Source organism: Homo sapiens, chromosome 1 (genome assembly GCF_000001405.40).
Source record: "Homo sapiens chromosome 1, GRCh38.p14 Primary Assembly".
In the NCBI taxonomy this organism is placed as follows: Eukaryota; Metazoa; Chordata; class Mammalia; order Primates; family Hominidae; genus Homo; species Homo sapiens.
In genome coordinates, this window is record NC_000001.11 from 228,461,751 (window position 1) to 228,483,879 (window position 22,129).

The following is a 22,129-nucleotide window of genomic DNA, read 5'->3' on the forward strand; positions in this document are numbered from 1 at the left end:
AGGACAGGGATCTGTTAAGGGAGAGGCAAAGAAGGTAAAACAGGATCCTTGCTACTAAGATTTTATAATGGAGAAAATTCAGAGCAATCGTGTCCAGAACCCATTTCTCTAATTATAGTGTTACAACAGAGAAAGACAAATGTTAATGATAAATGAAGGCAGTGCACATCAAATATGTGAGAATCCACAGAGACTAAGGGAATTAGGACTCACTCAACAAAATGGAAGCATTTTCTGGGTTGGAGAGACATGCCAAGATTCTTAAACTAAGCCAAATTTTTAAACTAAGCTTCATCTCACCTATCTGAGATGGGTGAGTGACAATCACTTAAATACATGTCAGATTGTATGCCTACAAAATCCCTCCAGACTGGCATACAATCTGACATGTATTTAAGAGATTGCCCCTCACCCATCTCAGATGGAAATTTCAAGTCAGATTTGCTAATTATTATGCAGTAAATAAAATAATTTGGAAGGAATCATCTCCAATTAAACCAACTTTGATTAAAAAACAAAAAATAACAAATGTTGGTGAGAACGCAGGGAAAGGGGATGCTTGTACACTGCTGGTAAGAATGTAAATCAGTACAGCCACTATAGAGACAAATATGGGCATTCTTTAAAAAACTAAAAACAGACTTACCATATGATCCAGCAACCCCATTGCTGGGTATATATCCAAAAGAAAGGAAATCAGTATATCAAAGAGATGTCTGCGGTCTCATGTTCATTGCAGCACTATTTATAATAGCCAAGATAGAAAGTCAACCTTAGTGCCCATCAGTAGATATATGGATAAAGAATATGTGGTACATTTACACATTCGAATACTATTTGGCCATTAAAAAAAATGAAATCCCGTCATCAGCAACATGGATGGAACTGGAGGACATTATGTTAAGTAAAACAAATCAGGCACAGAAAGACAAATACTGCATGATCTCACTCATACGTGGGAGCTAAGAACATGCATCTCATGGAGGTAGAAAGTTGATTGCTGGTTACCAGAAGCTGGGAAGAGTGGTGGGGAAAGGAGGAGATGAAGTTGATTAATGGGTACAAAAATATGCTTAGAAGAAATGGTAACATCTAGTATTGGTTAGAAAAGTAGGGTGACTGTAGTTAACAATAATTAGTTGTATTGCTGGAGGAGAGGAATTGGAATGATCTCGACCTAAAGAGGGTGTGAATATGATGACGGATGTCCCAGTTGCCCTGGTTTGATTGTTAAGCCTATGCGTATATCAAAATATTTGTACCCCCCAAATATGTACAACTATTACGTACTACTAATAAAAAAGCATATTGCTCTGAAAAAGTGCTCTAAAAAATAAAGCCTATTTACAAAAAGAATTTGGAGGAAAGAAAACTCCCTTTAAGAAGAAACTAACCCAAGAAAATGGATTTACTTTATGAGGCCAGAGAGGTTAAATGTTGATAAATGCGTGGCTGTCATTGTGTTGGGAGTGTGCAGTGGGAACTGAGCCTGGGTAGAGTGCATCTTCTACCAGTGGGAACTGAGCCTGGAAACCGAATTCTAATTCCAGGCAACGTTTTTGCTTAGAGGGTGGGTAGCTCTCAGGTATTCGTGGTTGGGGTGTCACCGGTATGGGGTATTTTTAGGGGGAGGACAGCCTGGGCCCCAGTCAGGCCTGCATGCCTTAGTTTTTAATGTGTCATCCAGAGATCATACTTATTTTTCCTATGATTTGCTGGAGTTTTTTTTAAAAAGCACTATATTTGCATTATTCAAAATAATCTTTCACTGTGTAATATGCGTACACACACACACACACACATTTTGGGGGTAAAATACGAGAATCCCTTAATTGGGGAAATTTTAGCTGAGTGATAAGGAGATCTGTGAGCCTGCTGTTTTGATGTTTCAAGCAGGAAGGCGTGGCATAAAGAGCTGCTTAGGCGCAACGCTGCTGAAATGGTTTTGGCTAGAAGCTCACAGTGTCTAGTTGTGGCTAAGGAGGGAGGAAAGGGGCGGGAGAAGAACGGACCCAAGCGCCTCCGCCCAGACGGCGCGATAACCCCCTCACCTCCAACCCCGGACCTCAGTGAGCACGTCCTCCAGTCTCAGCCGCCAGGAGGCACTGGGGGCGGGGACGTGGCACAAGATCTTCCCGGAGGTGACCCACGCTCCTCGCGCGCAGGGCGTAAGCCACACACAGATCTTTGGATGGGATCCATGGCGCAATCGCCTGTACTGCCCCCTCTCTGACTTTGCCTGTGGCCAACACAAGACGAACGCAGCCTTTCTAAGGGAAATATGCCGTTACAAACAAGAAGCCTAATTTTGTCTCTAAGACTTGCGCCCCCACGGCTCAGTCTACTTTCCCTCATTACTCCAATTGAATCACAGGTCACAACCAGACCAGGTGGCACGCTCCTTTTGGAGCTTGGAGGTGGCTCTGAAAAGAGCCTTTGGGTTCGGGGCGCCGGGACGCACCTCACTTGGAGCTGGTGTACTTGGTGACAGCCTTAGTGCCCTCGGACACGGCGTGCTTGGCCAGCTCGCCGGGCAGCAGCAGGCGCACGGCCGTCTGCACTTCGCGGGACGTGATGGTGGAGCGCTTGTTTGTAGTGCGCCAGGCGGGAGGCCTCGCTGGCGATGCGCTCGAAGATGTCATTGACGAAGGAGTTCATGATGCCCATGGCCTTGGACGAGATGCCGGTGTCGGGGTGCACCTGCTTCAGCACCTTGTACACGTAGATAGAATAGCTCTCCTTGCGGCCGCGCTTGCGCTTCTTGCCGTCCTTCTTCTGCGCCTTGGTAATGGCCTTCTTGGAGCCCTTTTTAGAAGCCGGAGCCGCCCGCGATGGCTCCGGCATGGCGAGGTGACAAGAGCGCCTAGACGAACGCGGATGCGGGGCCGGCAGGGCTATTTGCCATCTTTATATTCAAATTAAGGCTCCAAATTTGTAGTGTCTGATTGGACGGCCTGACTCCGCGGCCGCCACTGGGAGGAATTTCTGTAAATAGCAGAGTCCGGTTCTTCTTTCCTATTGGACGGCGGTCCAACCAATCCCAAGGCATATCCGCCGCGCGCCGGAGCTGAGGTTGCGCATCTTTGTTCAAAGCCTTTGTTTTAAACCTGGAGATTTTTGTGTCTGCAGCGGATCTGGAGGTAGCTAAAGAGAAACTGAAAAACGGTTGCAACCCCAAATTGAGGTCTTCTCTGGCTGTGAGGCACATACATGGGGGCATTTTTTTTTTCTGAGGCCCACAGCTAGGGAGGGGTAGTTAGTGCTTATTTAGAAGGGGAGGTGGCGGTGGGAATGGCAGTTTGCAACGACCTTAACCCTTCGTTTCTTGCCCTTCCCTCCATTCCTCCAAAGATCAAAGAGATGCATTCTTCTCAGAATTCAATTGTAAATCCAAACGGTTCGTTAGGAAATACAGAAAATAGTACAGAAAACATGCTAAGGTACTTCAATTGGAATTGTCATGAGGCAGAGTTTTAACTGGAGAAATTGAATGGGTTTCAAATGAAACTTAGTCTTTCCTATTGTTTTTAAGGTCTCCCCAAACCCCTTCGAAGTGACAGCCGTAATGCAAAGGGATTGCTATGGGCGATCTCATTTGTTTCCCGGTATCCCCGAGAGGTGGGTACTGTGATTGCTCTAACTCCGTCAGAGCGCAGGCTTATAGAAGGCACTGTCTCCGAGCTGCGCCCCTCTCCCCGCCATTCTATTAATTCCCAATGAAGAAACGTAAGGTGTTGTGTATTTCAGCTTCAACTGAAGAGCTGGTTAAAAAAGCAGAATCTCAGGCCCACTCCTATCTGATTGAGTTAGAATTTGCATTTTAAATAGACTTGTGTGCACTTGACGATTTGAGAAGCCCTAGTCCGGAGGTCATTTATCTGCCCTAGCTGGGGCAGATAATTTACCTCTCCACACCTCCATATACTCATCTGTGAAATAAGGCTGCCAGTGCCCGCCTGATAGCGTTGCTGAGCATTAATGAGTGTGAAGCAGCGGGCAGGGTGCCCAGCATCTATTTTGTGCTTAATTCCTGTTAGCGCCTTTCCTTCTTAGGACTGATCCAGCCATAAGCAGCTTGGGCTACCTCAGCAGAGCCTGCTCTATGCCCCGGGCAGATCCATCACGTAAATATGTAGCACAAACCTTTCTCTCCCACTAGCATGCTGACTAAGCTTAACTCACAGGGAAGGATGTGGCTTTCATGTCTGAGGCTCCAGAGCACAGAGTGTGGCACCAGCAGGGGCCCAGTCAGTATCTGCTTGTGAATAAGCCTGTGAGCTGAGGCAGTACCCTCTACATTCAAGTCTGTCCTCTGAGGTCTTCTGGGCATCTTGAGACTGTGGGTTCCCTGAATGGCTTTGGGCATACCCAGCATTAAGCACTTTATCTGCTTCCTTTTGAAATATGTGGTTGATTTACCAAGCATTTCTAGAGTGCTCACTAAGAGCTGGCTAGGTAACCACTTAATAAATACTTGATTCAATTTAGTTCTCAAACAGCCCTTTGACAAAGATTCTCTGCTTGGCCAAACTCTGGTCAGGCTCCAGAACCTCCTCCTGGGTCCATCTGTGCACTTTCTTGTGAAATCCAGTTTTAGGAAGAGCCCCGCTAAGTCAGTTTAACTAGAACCCCTGATTCTGAATATCTGATCGCCCTCTGTGCTATCTGATGGGGTTCCTCATCCTCCATCCCCAGGTGATATCTGATCACCCTGCCTGCCTCCAGCAAGAGCCATGTGAGGTTCGTTTACCCAGAATCCCCCTCACACCTGATGTCTTCTTCTTCTTCTTCTTCTTCTTCTTCTTCTTCTTCTTCTTCTTCTTCTTCTTCTTCTTCTTCTTCTTCTTCTTCTTCTTCTTCTTTTTGAGATGGAATCTTGCTCTGTTGCCCAGTAGCACAATCTCAGTTCACTGCAACGTCCACCTCCCGGGTTCAAATGATTTTCCTGCCTCAGCCTCCTGAGTAGCTGGGATTACAGGCATGCCTGACCATGCTAGGCTAAGTTTTGTATTTTTAGTGGAGACAGGGTTTTGCCATATTGGCCAGGCTGGTCTCAAACTGCTGACCTCAAGTGATCCACCCTCCTCAGCCTCCCAAAGTGTTAGGATTACAGGCATGAGCCACCGTACTTGGCCCTGATGTCTCCTCTTAATACTGTTCTATCCACTAATCTACCCTACTCCTGTCTATAAATTTCCACTTGTCAGTGCGGTACTCAGAATTGAGCCCAATCTCTCTACCCTGCTGCAGAATCCCACTGCAATGGTCCTAATCCTACTCCACCGTCCTGAATGAAGCCTTCCTCACCATGGTTTAACAAACGTTAATATATGTACATATATAGCACTGCTTGCCTTGGTCCTGCCAGCCCAGTGAGATGCTGGTCTTCCCACCAGGTTCTTACTAAGGCTTCCTGGCTTCCTACTGGTGTGGAAAGGTTTGAAACAAAACTTGGAGTGGGACAGGAGGTGGGCATTCTAAGGACTTTGGGTAAGAATATGTCTTTCAGGTACTAAGATTTAGGATTTGCTCTGCCCACCATATGGTGGCTGCTTGGTGGTGTCAGGAAATCAGTCCTGGTTCTCATGGGTGGTGATTGCTAGGGACTCAATGTCTGCGTTCCCTCCAAATTTCTAGGTTGAAAACCCCCATCCCCAGGGTGATGGTGTTAGAAGGTGGGGCCTTTGGGGGATGATTATGTCATGAGGGTGGAGTGGCATGGTAGGATTCATGCCCTTATAAGAAGAGACACAAGACAGCTTGCTTTTCTCTTTCTCTCTGCTGCAGGGCCCAAGGAAAAACTTTCCTATTGCCCTCTGAAGATTCACTAAAAATCAGCTGACAAAAGACAGATTAAAAGAGAAAAGGCATACACATTTATTTGATCATAGTTTAGTGTGACAAAAAAGCCTTCAGAATGAATACAGAAGAAGCTGTCTATTTTAATGCTTAGGTTCAACAAAATATGGACTGCTATGTAGAAATAGGATTGGGCATGATCTACTGCTAATACACTGAGTGGGGACATCCAGCAAGCCCTGTCTGTCTAGATTCTTCTTGGCCTCTCTGCGTGGCATTCCTTCCTCTTGGGTATGAGACAGGACCCTCTGTGGAATGGGAGTCTTATGACGTACAACCAGACAAGGTGGCCCAGAGAATTTATGGTCAGCATTTGCACAGAAAGGCAGGAGTTAGAGTAATATTTTTAGGATTTGTGTCTGGCTGTGGGGAAAAGGGGTTGCGGTTTTTATGACCTGCCTTGGGGAAGAGGTATTCTAGTTTCTATGGCCAGTCTGGGGGAGAATGGGACTGAGACAGGAAGGCAGGAGATCAGAGAAAGTTTTTTGCTTCAGAGGTCTTCATTTTAGGATATCGCTTTCTAGCACCATGTGAGGACACAGGGAGAAGATGGCTAGGTGCAAACCAGTAAGAATGACCTCACAAAACCCAACCCTGCTGACACCCTGATCTCAGACTACTAGCCTTGGATAATCAGCACTCTTTGGGGGAAAATAACGACACAAAATGTATGTGTTATGTAACTGTAATGTGCAGTTTGTATTAAATGTCTTTTGTGTGTGTGTGTGTGTGTGTGTGTGTTTTTTTTTTGAGACAGGGTCTTGCTCTGTTGCCCAGGCCAGAGTGCAGTGGTGTGATTCATAGCTCACTGCAGCCTCAAACTCCTGGGTTCAAGCAATCCTCCTATCTCAGCCTCCCAAGTAGCTGGGACTATAGGTACGTGCCACCATGCCTGGCTAATTTTTTTTTTTTTTGTAGAGACAGGGTTTTTCTATGTTTCCCACACAGGTCTCTTTTCCCCCAAAGACTTTGATAAATTTCTGTTGTTTAAGTCTCCCCTTCTGTAGCATTTTGTTAGAACAGCCTGAGCCAATTGAGACAGTGTCTCGGATCAAGACCAACATGATGTATTGGCAGACGGACACTATGGAGTAAACTTGAAGCTTTCCTCATGTGAAGAAAAGAAGGAAAAAAGAAGAGAGGGAAGGAAGGAAAAGAAAGAAAGAAGGAAGTAAAGAAAGAAGAGGGACAGTTGGGGAGACGGAGGGAGGGAAGGACAGGGAAAGAGAAAGAAAAAAGAAAAAGAAACAGTGGCCTCTAGCTTAGTGACCAGGTTTAGATGATTAAGAAAAATAATAAACACCTCCCCCCTGCCCCCCGCACTTCTTTAATCGTTCTAGAGTACAGTACTTGGGCTGGAAGCCAGTCCACAAATGTGTTGAATGAATAACTGAATGCATGAAATCAGTCCATCTTTACACCTTAGATTTTTGTGCAGCTCTAGATGATGTATGCTTCTCTACTAGGATGAGGGCTTCCTGCAGTGAGCGCTTTCCCCACCAGCCAAGAAGCCAGGTCCCTTTAAGTCTTACAAACAAGCATTTAATACAGGTGCAGCACGGTGGCTCAGGCCTGTAATCCTAGCACTTTGAGAGACCCAAGCAGGAGGATCCCTTGAGTCCAGGAGTTTAAGACCAGCCTAGCAAACATAGCGAGACCCCTGTCTCTATTTTTTTAAGCATTTAATAAAATTGCACGTTGCAATGGCAAATGCACATGCTCCATCCAGACCCCACCGGTAGAGTGGGATCTGTGTGAGGGACAGCACCCTACAGATACAGAGAGGACAGGCTTCCAGGCTTCTCAAGGACTAGAGGGAACCTTGTACGATTTAAAGCGGAGGAACTGGGAGTGGCTGAAATGACAGGGTGTGCTATGGAGTTCTGCAGGGAACATTGGGGCCTCCCGTAATGCTTGCAGGATTGCAAAGAAGGAAAAAAGGGTTTGGGCAGCCTTGCGCTTCTCAGGGCTTCCAGTTGACATCCTATGGACAAAGGCCCTCCTGCCACAGCCAAGGCGCGTTTCCATCAGGGGCGACTCCTGGGGCGCCTGAGAGCAACCTCCTCCCGGCGCGCCCCCACCCTGCTTAAAGGCACCGGGTTGCGCCGGGCCAGCACCTGGGAGCTCCCCAGCCCAGCGCTCGGAGCACGGGGGACAAAGGCCGGTGCCCCCGGGGACCTGATGCCCAAGAGGGCAGGCCCTCTGACCAAGTCGAGGAGGCACACCGGCTGATTCCCAGCGCCCACGTCCGCAGGAGCAGCTTTTGTGCTCATTTCCATTGCATTTCAGCACTTAGAAAAGAGCTGCAAATGCCAGCGACAGGTGGTGTGGATGCAGAAGCAAAGCAGGAGCATGAAAGCCAATCAGTGAAACAGAGGCAGGCCCGGGCGAGGGCACCAGCCTGGGAACCCGAGGCGTGCTCCCTGAGCAGCAGGTTTGGGGTAACCTGAACGGCGGCCTTTGGTGGCCCTGTCCACCCAGCGAAGCAGCTCCTGCCCTACAGTAGCTTTTGGCGAAAAGCTCTTCAAGGCCAGTGATCTCCCTTCCCCAAGCTAATATTATACCACAGATTTCTCTTCTTACGTACTGCAATTAAATATCTTACGGGCTGCTGACTGCGAAGCTGGTGGCTTCAAGCAGCATTTGGAGAAGATATGGAAACCGGCAACGTACCTATCACAAGACATAAGGGAATTTTATGTAATAAATAATAAATAATAAATATTTATTATTTAACCAGGAGAGGTGGTTTCCACCAGGGAAGGGAGAGCCGGGGAGTGTGCGGGGAGGGGTGCCCTACGGTGGGCTAGGAGGGGTGCAGGGGGAGTGCAGGAGGAGGTGGGCAAGTGGGGGATACCGGGGTGGGGCGGGTTGGGAGGGGAGGGGCTCTCAGATGGGAGACAAGAAGTATGCGGGGAGGAAGGGGGGTGGGGGAGGGTGGCGGGGAGGGGAGCAGGAGTTGGGGGAGGGGCTCCGGGGGATGGGTGGGGAGGGGAGCTGGACTGATCCCCGATTTACCCTGAGGAACACGCAAGCCGGCCTCCTCCACCCTGTAAACCCCGAAGCAGCCTCATCCCTGTGCCACACGGGGGTCGAGAAATCTTGGTGACATGCAAAGATTGGGGAGAAAACATTAAGGCGCAAACGTGCATGAAATACAACAAATTCCAAACTCAGAAATAAAACCGAGGGTCGCAGAGAGGCAGCGGAATGAAGGGTGGCTTTGGAAAGCTCGAGAAGGCGCATCAGCCAATTGGTTTGTGGTGTGAGGCGGGTGAGAATGAATTTAGAACCAACTGGATACTGCACCCCTCAGTATTGGGGCGTCACAGCACCGCGGCACCCCTGCACTGCGTACCCATCTTCCCCGGCACCCCTGCAGCCCCAGCATCCCAACACTCCTGCACTCTGGTGCCGGGGCTTCCCTCTATCCCTGGCACCCCTGTGAACTCAGCACCACACCATTTGACAACTCTGCTCCCGGCACCCCTGCACTTCTGCACTCGGGTACCACTGCACCCCTGCATTCATATCCTCTGCCCCCACACCCCTGTAACCCCAGCACCCCCAGCATCCCTGCAACTGGTGACCCTTATAATCCCAGCAGCACCCCATCTGACACCCTTGCGTCCGGCACCCCAGCACTGCGGTACCCCGGCATTCGTGAAGCAGAGCACCCTGGCGCCGCATGCCCTGAGCCTGGGCTGCCCCTTCGCGCAGGAACCCAAGACGGAACCCACTCGCGTTGCGCCCGAGGAGGTGCGAGGCTGGTCCGCCAGACCCGCCCAGCACGTCACCAACACACCTAAGGAAGCCGGCTCCGGTGCCGCCTCCGTGGGGCGCAGGCTGGAGATGAAGGTCCAGGTCTCTGGACTGCGCAGAAACGCTTTTCCCAGAACCGCCCAAGACATTAACTAGGTGAAGTGGGTTATTTTCCCGAGTGCATTTGACGCTTCTTTCCCAGGCCGGGATGGGAAAATGGGCTGGCCACCGGGTCCCTGTCCATCTGTGTCCTCCAAAGGAGGCTGGAGGATCACTTGGGGCCAGGAGTTCAAAACCAGCTTGGGTGACACGACATAGCGAGACCTCGTCTCTACAAAAAAATTTAAAAAGTTAACGGGCGTGGTGGCCTGCGCCTATCGTCCCCCAGCTACTTGGGAGGATGAGGCGGGGCCATCGCTTGAGCTTGGGAGTAGGGGGCTGCAGTGAGCTGTGATCGTGCCATTGCAGTCCAGCGTAGGTGACAAAGCAAGATACTGCCTCCAAAAAAAAAAAAAAAAGCTAACCTGAGTCTAGACTGGACTCCCCAGCCAAGTCTTCTAGTCTTGTTTTGTAGCCTCAGATTCTGCACCCTGCTGTCTTCTTAAGTCACCCCTAGGGGGCATTTTGTTCCAGTGGAAGAGCAGAATATGCCTCCTGCAAGATGAGGGATTGTTGGGCTCAGGGCAATGGAGAAGAAAGTATACAGGAGAGCTCACTGCCCTCCCTCTGGGTGGCTAAAAGCAGGACATGGATTTACAGAAGGCATCCAGCCCCCACCCCACTTCACCAGGGAGAAGGGAGGTTAGCACTGAAGACAACTTTGCACCTTTATTGACTGGAGATGCTACCAGGGGATCTGCATTAGCAAGGGCTACTAACTAGACTTCATGTGTCCTTTATGTGCCTTTCTCCAAGTTGCTGTTCCTAGAGACTCAAAGTTCATCTCTCTTATCTTGTCACTTCTCTGCAGATTTACTGTTCTTTGTTGAAGATACCATAAAAGCGGGAATTCAAAGCCACCTCTTTGAGGACTACCCATTCTCTGGGGGCCACGCATGTATCTAGGAAAGGTAGCTGCTAGTAAGCTGCTATTTGTGCCTCTTGCTAATGTGTCTTTTATAACAGGGGTCAGTTTCAACTAAGAATTGATGGGGTGGAGGGTATTTTCCCCCTACATGATGTCATTAATGTGCTGGACCATCAAATAAATTCTAACACGTAATCAAAAAATTCTTCCTTCCAGAAAAGTAAGAAACTCCTATACTTTCTCTAGCAGGAGGGCTGTGGCCTGTTTGGTTTGCTATTTTAACCGTTTATCTACCCTGTGCCTACACCTGCATGGGTTCTCAACTGTACAGCTGACCCTTGAGCAACCAGAGTTTGACCTTTGAGGGTTACCGATACACCGCTTTTCTCCAGCCTTTGCTACCCCTATCCCTGAGACAGCGAGATGAAGCCCTCCTCTCCTTCCTCCTCCTCTGCAGCCTCTCAGTGTGAAGACCACGAGGATGACCTTTATGATGATTCACTTCCTTTTCATGAATAGTAACTACATGTTCTCTTTCTTAGGACTTTCTTAATAACATTTTCTTTCCTCTAGCTTACCGTATTGTAAGGACACAGTATGTAATATATAGAACATTCAAAATTTGCCTCAATCGACTGCTTATGTTATTGGTAAGGCTTCCAACAGTAGCCTATTAGTAGTTAAGTTTTGGGGGAGTCAAATTATATGTGAAGGCCAGGCACCATGGCTCACGCCTGTAATCCCAACATTTTGGGAGGCCAAAGTGGGAGGATTGCTTGAGGCCAGGAGTTTGAGACCAGCCTGGGCAACATAGCAAGATCACATCTGCACAAAAAAATAAAAAATACAAAATTTACCTGGCCATGGTGGCTCAGGCCTGTGGTTCCAGCTATTTGAGAGACTGATGTGGGAAGACTGCTTGGGCTCAGGAGTTCGAGGCTGCAGTGAGCTGTGATTACACTCCAGTATGGGCGACAGAGTGAGACCCCAACTCAAAAAAAAGTTATACTTGGATTTTCAACTGGACAGGGGTCAGCACCCTTAACCCACGCTGCCTTGTCCAAGGGAGAGCTGTGCATCCAATTACACAAGTGCTTTCTGAATGCTTTTCCCTCCTGTTCTTCCTGTCTAGCTTCTAACACCACCCTGTCCCCACCTGTAGTAACAACTTCCCTAAATTCCTCCTTATGGGCTATACAATTTTTGGGGAGAGGGTTTCCCAAAATGTGGTTCTGATATCCACACACCTACCTAACATTTCTTACTCTACATCCTCAGGGGGCTGGTCTCGAACTCCTGACCTCAAGTGATCCTCCTGCCTTGGCCTCCCAAAGTCCTGGGATTACAGGTGTGAGCCACCGTGTCCGGCCCCCAGTGAGATTTAAAAACACTCCTCAAAGGCTCCAGCCTCAAGCTGAATCTTCTACAAAACTGAACTCACCTTCTCACCCCAGCTCTCCACTCCAAGGGACGCACACCACATAGAAACCCTGGTGGTGTCATCTCACTCTTCTCCATTTCTAGTCAATGGCCACACTTCTCTCCCTAGCTCAGCACCATGGTGCTGCTCACACACGGGCAGGCATTCTAGATGAGTCCCCCATCTGGCCTAGGAACTTCCTCCCTGGCACTTGGTCTCCCTCCAACCAGTTCATGTTTCTGCATTGGGGCACTGAGAAATTCCAGCACCTGGTCACATCTCTATTGTGTAAGCCCTCACTATGTACATGGTCCCTGGATGCCCCACCCACAATCCTAATCCTGCAGCCCAGCCAGGACTCCCTGCCATCTCTTCTTCTGGGCCTCCTCTCACTTTTTAAAAATAGAATTAAAGGCCGGGCACGGTGGCTCACACCTGTAATCCCAGCACTTTGGGAGGCTGAGGTGGGTGGATCACGAGGTCAGGAGATCGAGACCATCCTGGCTAACACGATGAAATCCCGTCTCTGCTAAAAAATACAAAAAATTAGCTGGGCATGGTGGTGGGCGCCTGTAGTCCCAACTACTCGGGAGGCTGAGGCAGGAGAATGGTGTGAGCCCAGGAGCTTGCAGTGAGCTGAGATCGTGCCACTGCCCTCCAGAGTGGGAGAGAGAGCTAGACTCCATCTCAAAAAAAATAAAAATAAAAATAAAAAATTAAAAAAAAAATTACTCAGGTACAGTGAGGCCAACAGATCAGGAGACAAACACCATTGAAAAGATAGTTTATTACTCACAGTTCCCAAGAGGAGGGGTTTGCTATTGCTAAGCCTTCGATGCCACGAGGGATAGCGCCAGGGTCAGTTAAGAGGCAGATGGAGGGAGGGGAAAGTGTGGGCAGGAGCCTTTACTGTGGCTTTCACTGGAAGGAGCAGGCAAGGCAGACTAAGCTAGCTCACAATGGCTGGTTTGAATAAGCCCAGCAGGCTCTGGGTACCTAACCTTGGGATGCTTTGGGCCACACACCAAGAAAGCAATTCTATAGATTCCCCAGTGGACACCAGCTGGGTGTCCTCCAATGCAATGCAATTCCGACAGCAGAAAAATGCAAATGGGAAATTTTTAAAAGAGTCTTCAGTTTTGGCAGGTTGGCAATATGTGTAGGTATTAACCTGATGTACTCCTTTTAGTCTCCTTTTATATAAGACACAGGGGCTGGACTGTGCCATTCAAAGACATCTCTCAATTTCAACATTTTGTGATCCCCCTCACCCTTTTTCCATTTACACATAGAAAATTTGGAGTGCCAACCAAAATAACAGAGAGAGAACGATAGTGGCCTGGAGTGTGACAGCTCCATAGATGAGTGGTTGGGGCTGTGGGCTCTGGGTTGGTGAGTTTGTATATGAAATGCACAATCCCAGTAATTTTTTTTTCTAGCTGTAAATTTTTTTTTCTAGCTATAAAATTGTCCCCGGGAGAAGCTGTCCCTCCATGGCCAGTGAGGCCCTGGATGTCAAAGCCTCTGAAAATATAGAAAATCAAAGGCATGGTTACTACACTTGCATTCCTCTATCCTGCCAGGAATGCTGTTTGCTCTTTTTGGGGCTCAGAAACTGATACCCCAGCGCTTTGACATGCTGAACTGAATAAGAAGCCTCCAGGTCTCTCTGACCTTCCCCTCCTTCCTGTCTCCCAATCTTCTGTCTCTCCCAAAGCACTGGATGAAGCTGTTCTCTGAAATTCCCCTATCTGCCTAAAGTGCAGACCTGCTGCAGCAGAAAACAATGGCCTCCGATCCCTTCCCTGAGTTTCAAACGGCTGAACTCTCATCACAGGAATGAGGACTGAAGTCGGTCAACATGCCTGGACAGACCTTTTTTTTCTAGCTGTAAATATATTTTTTAGCTATAAAATTGGCCCTGGTAGAAGCTGTCTTTGTCACAAACCAACAGACTGTCCCAGACCATTGTATGTTCTTCAAGCCCGTTGAATTTCCCTAAAAAATATTTACTATCCCCCTAAAATAATGCACACTTCCTTATCTCCCTTTCCCCTAAGAGGAGAATAAAGGCCTCTGCACCCCATTGCATGGTGGGGTAACCACCCTGTGATTCTCCCCATGCATGTTAATAGATGTGTAAGCCTTTCCTCCTAGCAATCTGCCTTCTGTCAGCTGATTTTATAACAAAACTTCAGAAGATAAAGGGGAAGTTTTCCCTTGGCTCCTAAGCTGTCCACCCTGTTGATCAGAAGCAGGGCAATGCTGATAACACACCAGTAATGTCCTGATCCTTGATGCTCCTGCCCCGCAACTTTCTAGGTCTGTGCAGTTAGCCCACATCTTTTTTTTCTTTCTCTCTCTTTTTTTTTTTTTAGACGGAGTTTAGCTCTTGTTGCCCAGGCTGGAGAGCAATGGCGCGATCTCGGCTCACCGCAACCTCTGCCTCCCAGGTTCTCCTGCCTCAGCCTCCCGAGTAGCTGGGATTACAGGCGTGTGCCACCACACCTGGCTAATTTTGTATTTTTAGTAGAGATGGGGTTTCTCCATGTTGGTCAGGCTTGTCTCAAACTCCCGACTTCAGGTGATCTGCCTGCCTCGGCCTCCCAAAGTGCTGGGATTACAGGCGTGAGCCACCGCACCTGGCTAGCCCACATCTTATGATGTCCCATGTCTAGAGAGAGGGCTGTCGTCAACAATGACCTCAGATGCACACAAACCCTCAGTCAGTGCAAGAATCCAAGTATCCCCAGAGGGCCAGCAAGTCCAGTTCAAACAGGAGCTGGGAGGAAACCTGGCTGGTGCTCACCTGCTTGTTGGGGTAGGGGGCTGTTATAAAGTGAATTATGTCCCTTGAAATTCACAGGTTGAAGTCCTACCCCCAGGACCTCAGAATGTGGCTGTGTTTGGAGACAGAGCCATTAAAGAGGAAATAAAGGTAAATGAGTTCCTTGGGGTGGGCCCTACTCCCATAGGTCTGTTGTCCTCATAAGAAGGGATTAGGGCACAGACTCACAAGGAGGGATGGCCCTATGAGGACCGGGGAGGAGACTGCATCTACAGGCTCAGGAGAGACGCCTCAGGGGGAAATGACCTTGTTCACACCTTGATCTCGGACTCCAGCCTCCAGCACCATGAGAAAGTAAACTTCTATTGTTTATGGCACCCAGTCTCTCTGCTGCAGTGTTATGGTGGTGTGAACCCTAAAAATCTGAGACAGGTCTCAGTTAATTTAGAAAGTTTATTTTGCCAAGGTTGAGGACATGTGCGTGACACAGCCTCAGGAAGTCCTGCCAACACGCGCCCAAGGTGGTTGGGGCACAGCTTGGTTTTATACATTTTAGGGAGACATGAGACATCAATTAATATATTAAGAAGTACATTAGCTCCATCCCAAAAGGCGGAGACAGCTCAAAACAAGGCCGCCCCACCCACACTGTACTGGGGGCTTCCAGGTCACAAGTAGATGAGAGAGACAGATGGTTGCATTCTTTTGAGTGTCTGATAAGTCTTTCCCAAGAGGCAATCAGAATATGCGTCTATCTCTGTGAGCAGAGGGATGACTGAATAGCATGTGAGGTAGATTTGACCTGAGAGGTTCCCAGCCTGAAGGGGTCCAACTATCTTCCTTTCACAGCGGCCTGAACCAATTGAGACAGGGAGGTTGCAAGTTTTAGATGGAAGAAACCACAGAGCTGTAACTTATGTCTGAAGGGTGTGCAAGGCAAGCAAGGCCCTTTTGTGCTCTAGTCCGTATTTTTGTCAACATCCCGGTTCAAGCTGGGAACCAAGTGATAGGATCTGAACAGAGATTATCATTCATTCACTTCAGGGACCTGGGAGAGAAAACCAAATTTGCTTGGGTCAGGATTATGGAATTGCTTTATATATAGTGAATCAAAGGCTTAGAATAATAATAATAATACCTATTATTATTATTACTTTCAGTTTAGAAATATCTTAGCTTCTAGGCCAGGCATGGTGGCTCATGCCTGTAGTCCCAGCACTTTAGAAGGCTGAGGTGGGAGGACCACTTGAGCCCAGGAGTTTGAGACAAGCCTGGGCAACATGGTGAAACCTTTTCTCTACAAAAAATTTTAAAACTTAGCCAGACTTGATGGCACACACCTGTAGTCTCTGCTACTTGGGAGATTGAGGTGGGAAGATTGCTTGAGCCAGGGAGGTGGAGGCTGCAGTGAGCCCTCATTGCGCCATTGAACTCTAGCCTGGGCAACAGAGCAAGAGCAAAGCCCTGTCTCAAAATAATAATAATAATAATAATAATAATAATAATTTTAAAAACATTATGTCTCTAAATTTGTTGTAATTTTGTCTTTTGATAGGCATAAGGATTAGATTGAACTAAAGGACACTGAGAATGCATCTCTTAAGTAAGTAAATAAAATAGAAATACCTTAGGTATTTGAACTCTGAAAATTTGAGACAGGTCTCAGTTAATTTAGAAAGTTTATTTTGCCAAGGTTGAGGACAGGCACTCATGACACAGCCTCAGGAAGTCCTGACGACAAGTGCTCAAGGTGCTCGGGGCACAGCTTGGTTTTATGCATTTTAGGGAGACATGAGACATCAGTCAATATATGTAAGTACATTGGTTCAGTCTGGAAAGGCAGGAAAACCTGAAGCAAAGGCAGAAAGATTCAAAGTGGGGAGGGGCCTTCCTGGTCACAAATAGGTGAAACACAAACAGTTGCATTCTTTTGAGTTTCTGATTTGCCTTTCCAAAGGAGGCAATCAGATATGCATCTATTTCAGTGAGCAGACGGGTGACTTTAAATAGAATGGGAGGCAGGTTGGCCCTAAGCAGTTCCCAGCTTGACTTTTCTCTTTAGCCAAGTGACTTTGGGGCCCCAAGATTTATTTTCCTTTCACGGGTATATTTAGATATTTAGAATCCTAATTTTTTGAGCAATTTTGACATCTGAAATATTGAAAAGATTACCATTACAATTGCATTTAAAATGAAACATTGAGTAATTGGTTTTGACATGAGTTTTTAAGTTGAAAGGTTTAAAAATTATGCAAAGGCTATCCATAATATTGGATAATACAGTTAGCTTAATATTCGCCATCTTTAAGGGTAGCAGTTAATTTTGTGAACGTTATCTCTGCCTGCGTGGAGGGTTGCAGTGAGAGAGGCCAGGGCTCCTGGATGTTGAGGTATGGATGGTAGCCCAGCCCACCCATGCTGTCTCTGGCCCTGCAGGTGACCACAGTCCCTCATTTTTGTCTGTGGTGGCGATGGTATCTGTGCAAGGCTGTGGTTTTTTTTTTTTTTTTTCTTTTTTAATCAGGCCCCTTCGTCATTTCCTTCCTTTTCTCCCTTGGCCCCTAGCTGGTGTGTGGCTCTGGGCTTGGGCCCTGCTCGAATGCATCCTCTTTCTCTGGCCGGAGCTGGTTCCAGCCCATGATGGGAGGTCTGACCACTGGGTCCTCAGGCCCTTCCCTGGTCATGATAATGGCATCAGTGCCTGGCCCAACACCCACCCTGGATATCTGGAGGAGGGGAGCTCTGATTTGCTGGGCTGGAGTGGCTGTCAATGGAAGCCCGACCTGGCCATTTGGCCTTGAGGAGACAATTGCCTGGGGCTGTAGGGGGACCACCCAGGAGGAAGGGGACGGAGGAAGAAGTGTGTGTCCTGGGACATCCCCAGGCTCCCAGGGCTCACACTGCCTGACAGTATCAGGCTGCACTTGCAGTCTCAGGAGCCACAGGCCACCCTCCTCCACTGTCATTTACAGCCATCTGCAGTTAGGTCCTGTCACCCGCAACCTAAAGCTCCTGACACATCAAAGCAGCACACAGAGGCTTGTGGGAGTTGATGCCATCAGCCCATTTGTAATGTGTCCTCGATTTGAGAACCATGTTGGATAAGGTTGTGGTCATCAGTGGGCACTCATTTTAGTGAGGCAAGGGTGGGATTGCCTAAATGCATGTGAGATTGAAGAGCCAAGAAGACATTTTGAATTGTATTATTTATTTGACTGTGGTTGAAACATGCAGCATGAGTTGTGCCCTCCAAACAGATCTGGTGTAGGTACAGAACTGCTCAGGTATCATTTATTGCATGCTACTCTACTCAGGCACAAGGCTCTAGTTAAAAAGCATACATCTCAGCTCAGAGTCCACCTTTATCACCAGCCTGTGTGGGCCCCCTCTTATGTACACACACACACACACACACACACACACACACACACACACACTCCCAAGTACCTTGCCTGTTAAACCCATTTTCCTTGCTTAAAGGAAAGGGGTTTCCATCCCCTGCAACTCAAGACATACAGGAAAAATCAATGGACATGTTTTTTTCCAACTCTCCACTCAACATGACCCTTCTGCCACCAGATGTTGGCAGGAGTGTTTTCCCACACACCAAGCAAGCAACTCTGCAGATTCCCCAGTGGACACCAGCTGGGCGTCCTCCAGTGCAATTCTAACACCAGAACAATGTAGACAGAAATGTTTAAAAAGAGACTTTATTTTCAGCAGGTTGGAGTGTGTGTGTGTGTGTGTGTTTGTGTGTGTGTGTTAACATGCTTAGTCTCCTTTAGTAAGACACAGGGACTGGACTGAACCATCTGGAAGACATCTCTCCATTTTGACACTTTATGATTCCCCCCTACCTTTTTTTCACTTACACATAGAAAATTTGGTGTCAACTGAAATAAACCGAGACAAGCTCTCTAAAAGAAATTTATTTGGGAATAAAGCATTGCAATGGGAATACGTGTGCCATAGTAAAAAGTAAGTGCGTATTCAGAGAGGTAAAGGAAGACAAAGGTTTTTAAAGGAAAAAAATAAGAAGAATTACATAATTGTTTTGAAATAATTATCTGTGGTTAGAAATATCAATAACAAGGGTGACACCAGTCCGAAGTTAAACAGGAGGTTACTGGGGAGATGTCCTTGCAAATGTCTTTTTTGTGTACCCTGGCGATGTCCTCTGAGCAAGGCTGTGGTTTTTGTAGTCTCTTTTTTTTTTTAAATCAGGCATGCAAGCCCAAAAATCTTCTCTTCAGGACTTCTCCAATCCTATTGGTCAGGGTTTTGTGAACATTCGTGACTCCATTTCTATTCTGACAATTTTCTCAGGCAGAAGAGCAGAGTGACTTCATACCACGTAGGAAGTTGTGTTTCTTAGTTGTATTTCGCCTTTTAGGAGCAATGAAAATTAATTACTTCAGATTCCTTTTTCCCTGTGCCGGACATGAGATTTCCCAAGTCATATCTTCCTATCCAAACATCCTTGCATCTCCCATATTTCTTTTAAATACACAGCTTATGGCCTCTTCAACATTCGTTTTTGTACACTCTGATTTGTGAGACTACAATTTTAAACAGGGTAACCCGCAATGCCATAAAATACATATAACAAAAGACACATCAAATATACAAGGGAAATGTGGGATTAAAATTTCCTGTAATTAAGGCTGGGTGTGGTGGCTCTCAACTGTAATCCCAGCACTTTGGTAGGCTGAGGCGGGTGGATCACATGAGGTCACGGGTTCGAGACTAGCCTGGCCAACATGGTGAAACCCCATCTCTACTAAAAATACAAAAATTATCCGGGTGTGGTAGTGTGTGCCTATAGTCCCAGTTACCAGGGAGGCTGAGGCAGGAGAATTGCTTGAGCCCAGGAGGCGGAGGTTGCAGTGAGCCGAGATCATGCTACTGTACTCCAGCCTGGGTGACAGAGTAAGACTGTCTCAAAAATTTCCTATAATTAGAATCGTTTACCTCTCTTCTAGTCATCCATTTTTTGGTTGTTTCTGTTGCCTTACAAAAAAAAAAAAAAGACTGGCCAGGAGTGGTGGCTTACGCCTGTAATCCCAACACTTTGGGAGGCCAAGGCAGGTGCATCACCTGAGGTCAGGTGCATCACCTGAGGTCAGGAGTCTAAGACCAGCCTGATCAACAAGGTGAAACCCTGTCTCTACTAAAAATACAAAAATTAGCTGGGCGTGGTGGCAGGTGCCTTTAGTCCTAGCTACTCGGGAGGCTGAGACAAGAGAATTGCTTGAGCCCAGAAGGCAGAAGTTGCAGTGAGCTGAGATTGTGCCACTGCACCCCAGCCTGGGGGACAGAGTGAGACTCTGTCTCACAAAAAAAAAAAAAAAAAAAAAAAAAAAAGACTTCATCGCACTCTTAGAGAAAATATTCACATGCTTTTGTGGTTGCCAGTGAAATCCCCAAACATTTTACATTAATCAGTTGAAAATATTATCCTGAGAAGATGATGGTTCAGCATCCAGCACCGTTTTGTGGCGGAACAGTGTCTTATTCAGTTCTTTGATGCCAATGCGATGGGAATTCAAGAGCCCAGAGACATCCAAGACTCGTCAATGTTCTTCTGTCTTTGTGGAATCTATGAGATGTCATGCTGAGAAAAAACAAACAAACAAACAAACAAACAAAAAACCCACTGCCCACTTTGATCCTGTCTCTGATCAGAAAGTGAAAGCCTTCAATTTTCCAAACAGTTCAAGAGGCACATGAGGGAGGAGGAGTACTCTTTCCCCACCCAACTGAGTGCTCAAACGGCATCAGGCTCAGTCTCTAATCTGGAGGGTAGAGAGGAGGGAGGCTGGACAGAGAAGTGCCAGGAGGCTCAGAAAACAAGACCCAAAATGAGGACATCCTAAGCAGCCTCAGAAGCAAAAAGTTTTCTCTGACCTTCTCTGGCCCTCTGTCTCTAGCCCCTCATTCTCCCCTGTCTGGCCATAGAAACTAGAATCCCTCTTCCTCAAGGTGAGTCATAGAAACTAGAACCCAAAGCCAGCTATAACACTTAAAAAATATGACTCTAATTTTCTTTCTGCCTTTCTGTGTAAAACCCAGCCATGAAGAAATGATCTGACCTACCTTGTTAGACTGTAGATCTTAAGACCCTCACTCCAGAGAGGGTCCTGGATGGAAGGAAGGAAGGAAGGAAGACTGCTCAGAGAGGCCATAAGAATCTAGACAGACAGGCCTGGCTGGGTGTCCCCACTTAGGCTCTTCTCATTAGCTCCGACCCTATTTGCCCAATTCTATTTCTGCATGGCTGTCCATACCTTGTGGAACCTAAGCATAAAAATGGATGATTTCCCTCATATCTTGGCCAGGCATGGTGGCTCACGCCTCTAATCCCAGAACTTTGGGAGGCCGAAGTGGGCGGATCACAAGGTCAGGAGATCGAGACCATCCTGGCTAACACGGTGAACCCCCGTCTCTACTAAAAATACAAAAACTTAGTCGGGCGGTATGGCACGTGCCTGTAGTCCAGCTACTCGGGAGGCTGAGGCAGGAGAATCGCTTGAACCCGGGAGGCGGAGGTTGCAGCGAGCCGAGATCGCGCCACTGCACTCCAGCCTGGGTGACAGAGCAAGACTCCGTCTCAAAAAAAAAAAAAAAAAGGACGATTTCCCCCATATCTTTAGGTTTGTATAGACACAGTAAATAAATGTGTCTGCCTTTTCTCCAATTGATCTGCCTTTTGCAATTTTTCTTTCTTTTTTTTTTTTTTTTGAGACAGAGTCTGGCTCTGTCACCCAGGCTGGAGTGCAGTGATGCTATGTCAGCTCACTGTAGCCTCCGTCTCCTGGGTTCAAGCGATTCTCCTGCCTCAGCCTCCCGAGTAGCTGGGACTACAGGCATGCAGCACCATGCCCAGCTAATTTTTGTATTTTCAGTAGAGATGGGGTTTCACCGTGTTGGCCAGGATGGTCTCCATCTCCTGGCCTTGTGATCTGCCAGCCTCGGCCTCCCAAAGTGCTGGGATTACAGGCGTGAGCCACCGCGACCAGCCTTTTGCAATTTTTCATCAAAATTTGAGAGGACCAAGGGTTCCCCTTGGCACCTACACCAGCCACCCTGTCTTGGGAAGTGGGGATGCTGGCACCACACAATGTGGATTCTGCTGGTGGTAAGGGAGAGAGGCTTTCAGGCAACAATCTTTGCCAGTGTATACTTCCAAAAGTCTCTAATGCACACATGTGCAAGTTCATGGCTGCTACCATTTGCTAAGCCATGCCCCTAGTATTGGACCTTCAAGGTTTTT

At 47.6% G+C, this 22,129-nt stretch overlaps 1 non-coding gene and 1 pseudogene across 1 annotated transcript, besides 2 other annotated features; one reads left to right on the forward strand and one right to left on the reverse strand.

The window, feature by feature from the left end:
* The first annotated feature begins 323 nt into the window (after positions 1–323).
* MIR4666A (microRNA 4666a) lies at positions 324–402 on the forward strand. The gene has a single exon (NR_039812.1). It is a non-coding gene; the product is annotated as a microRNA 4666a (primary transcript).
* Positions 2,420–2,825, reverse strand: H2BC27P (H2B clustered histone 27, pseudogene; annotated as a pseudogene).
* Positions 9,101–9,611: an enhancer, noted in NCBI's record as "H3K27ac-H3K4me1 hESC enhancer chr1:228658552-228659062 (GRCh37/hg19 assembly coordinates)". NCBI's record gives its function as "activates a minimal SCP1, AML or CMV promoter by ChIP-STARR-seq in naive H9 embryonic stem cells {active_cell/tissue: H9 hESC(naive)}" and the evidence as "EXISTENCE:reporter gene assay evidence [ECO:0000049][PMID:30033119]".
* Positions 14,261–15,096: an enhancer, noted in NCBI's record as "H3K4me1 hESC enhancer chr1:228663712-228664547 (GRCh37/hg19 assembly coordinates)". NCBI's record gives its function as "activates a minimal SCP1, AML or CMV promoter by ChIP-STARR-seq in naive H9 embryonic stem cells {active_cell/tissue: H9 hESC(naive)}" and the evidence as "EXISTENCE:reporter gene assay evidence [ECO:0000049][PMID:30033119]".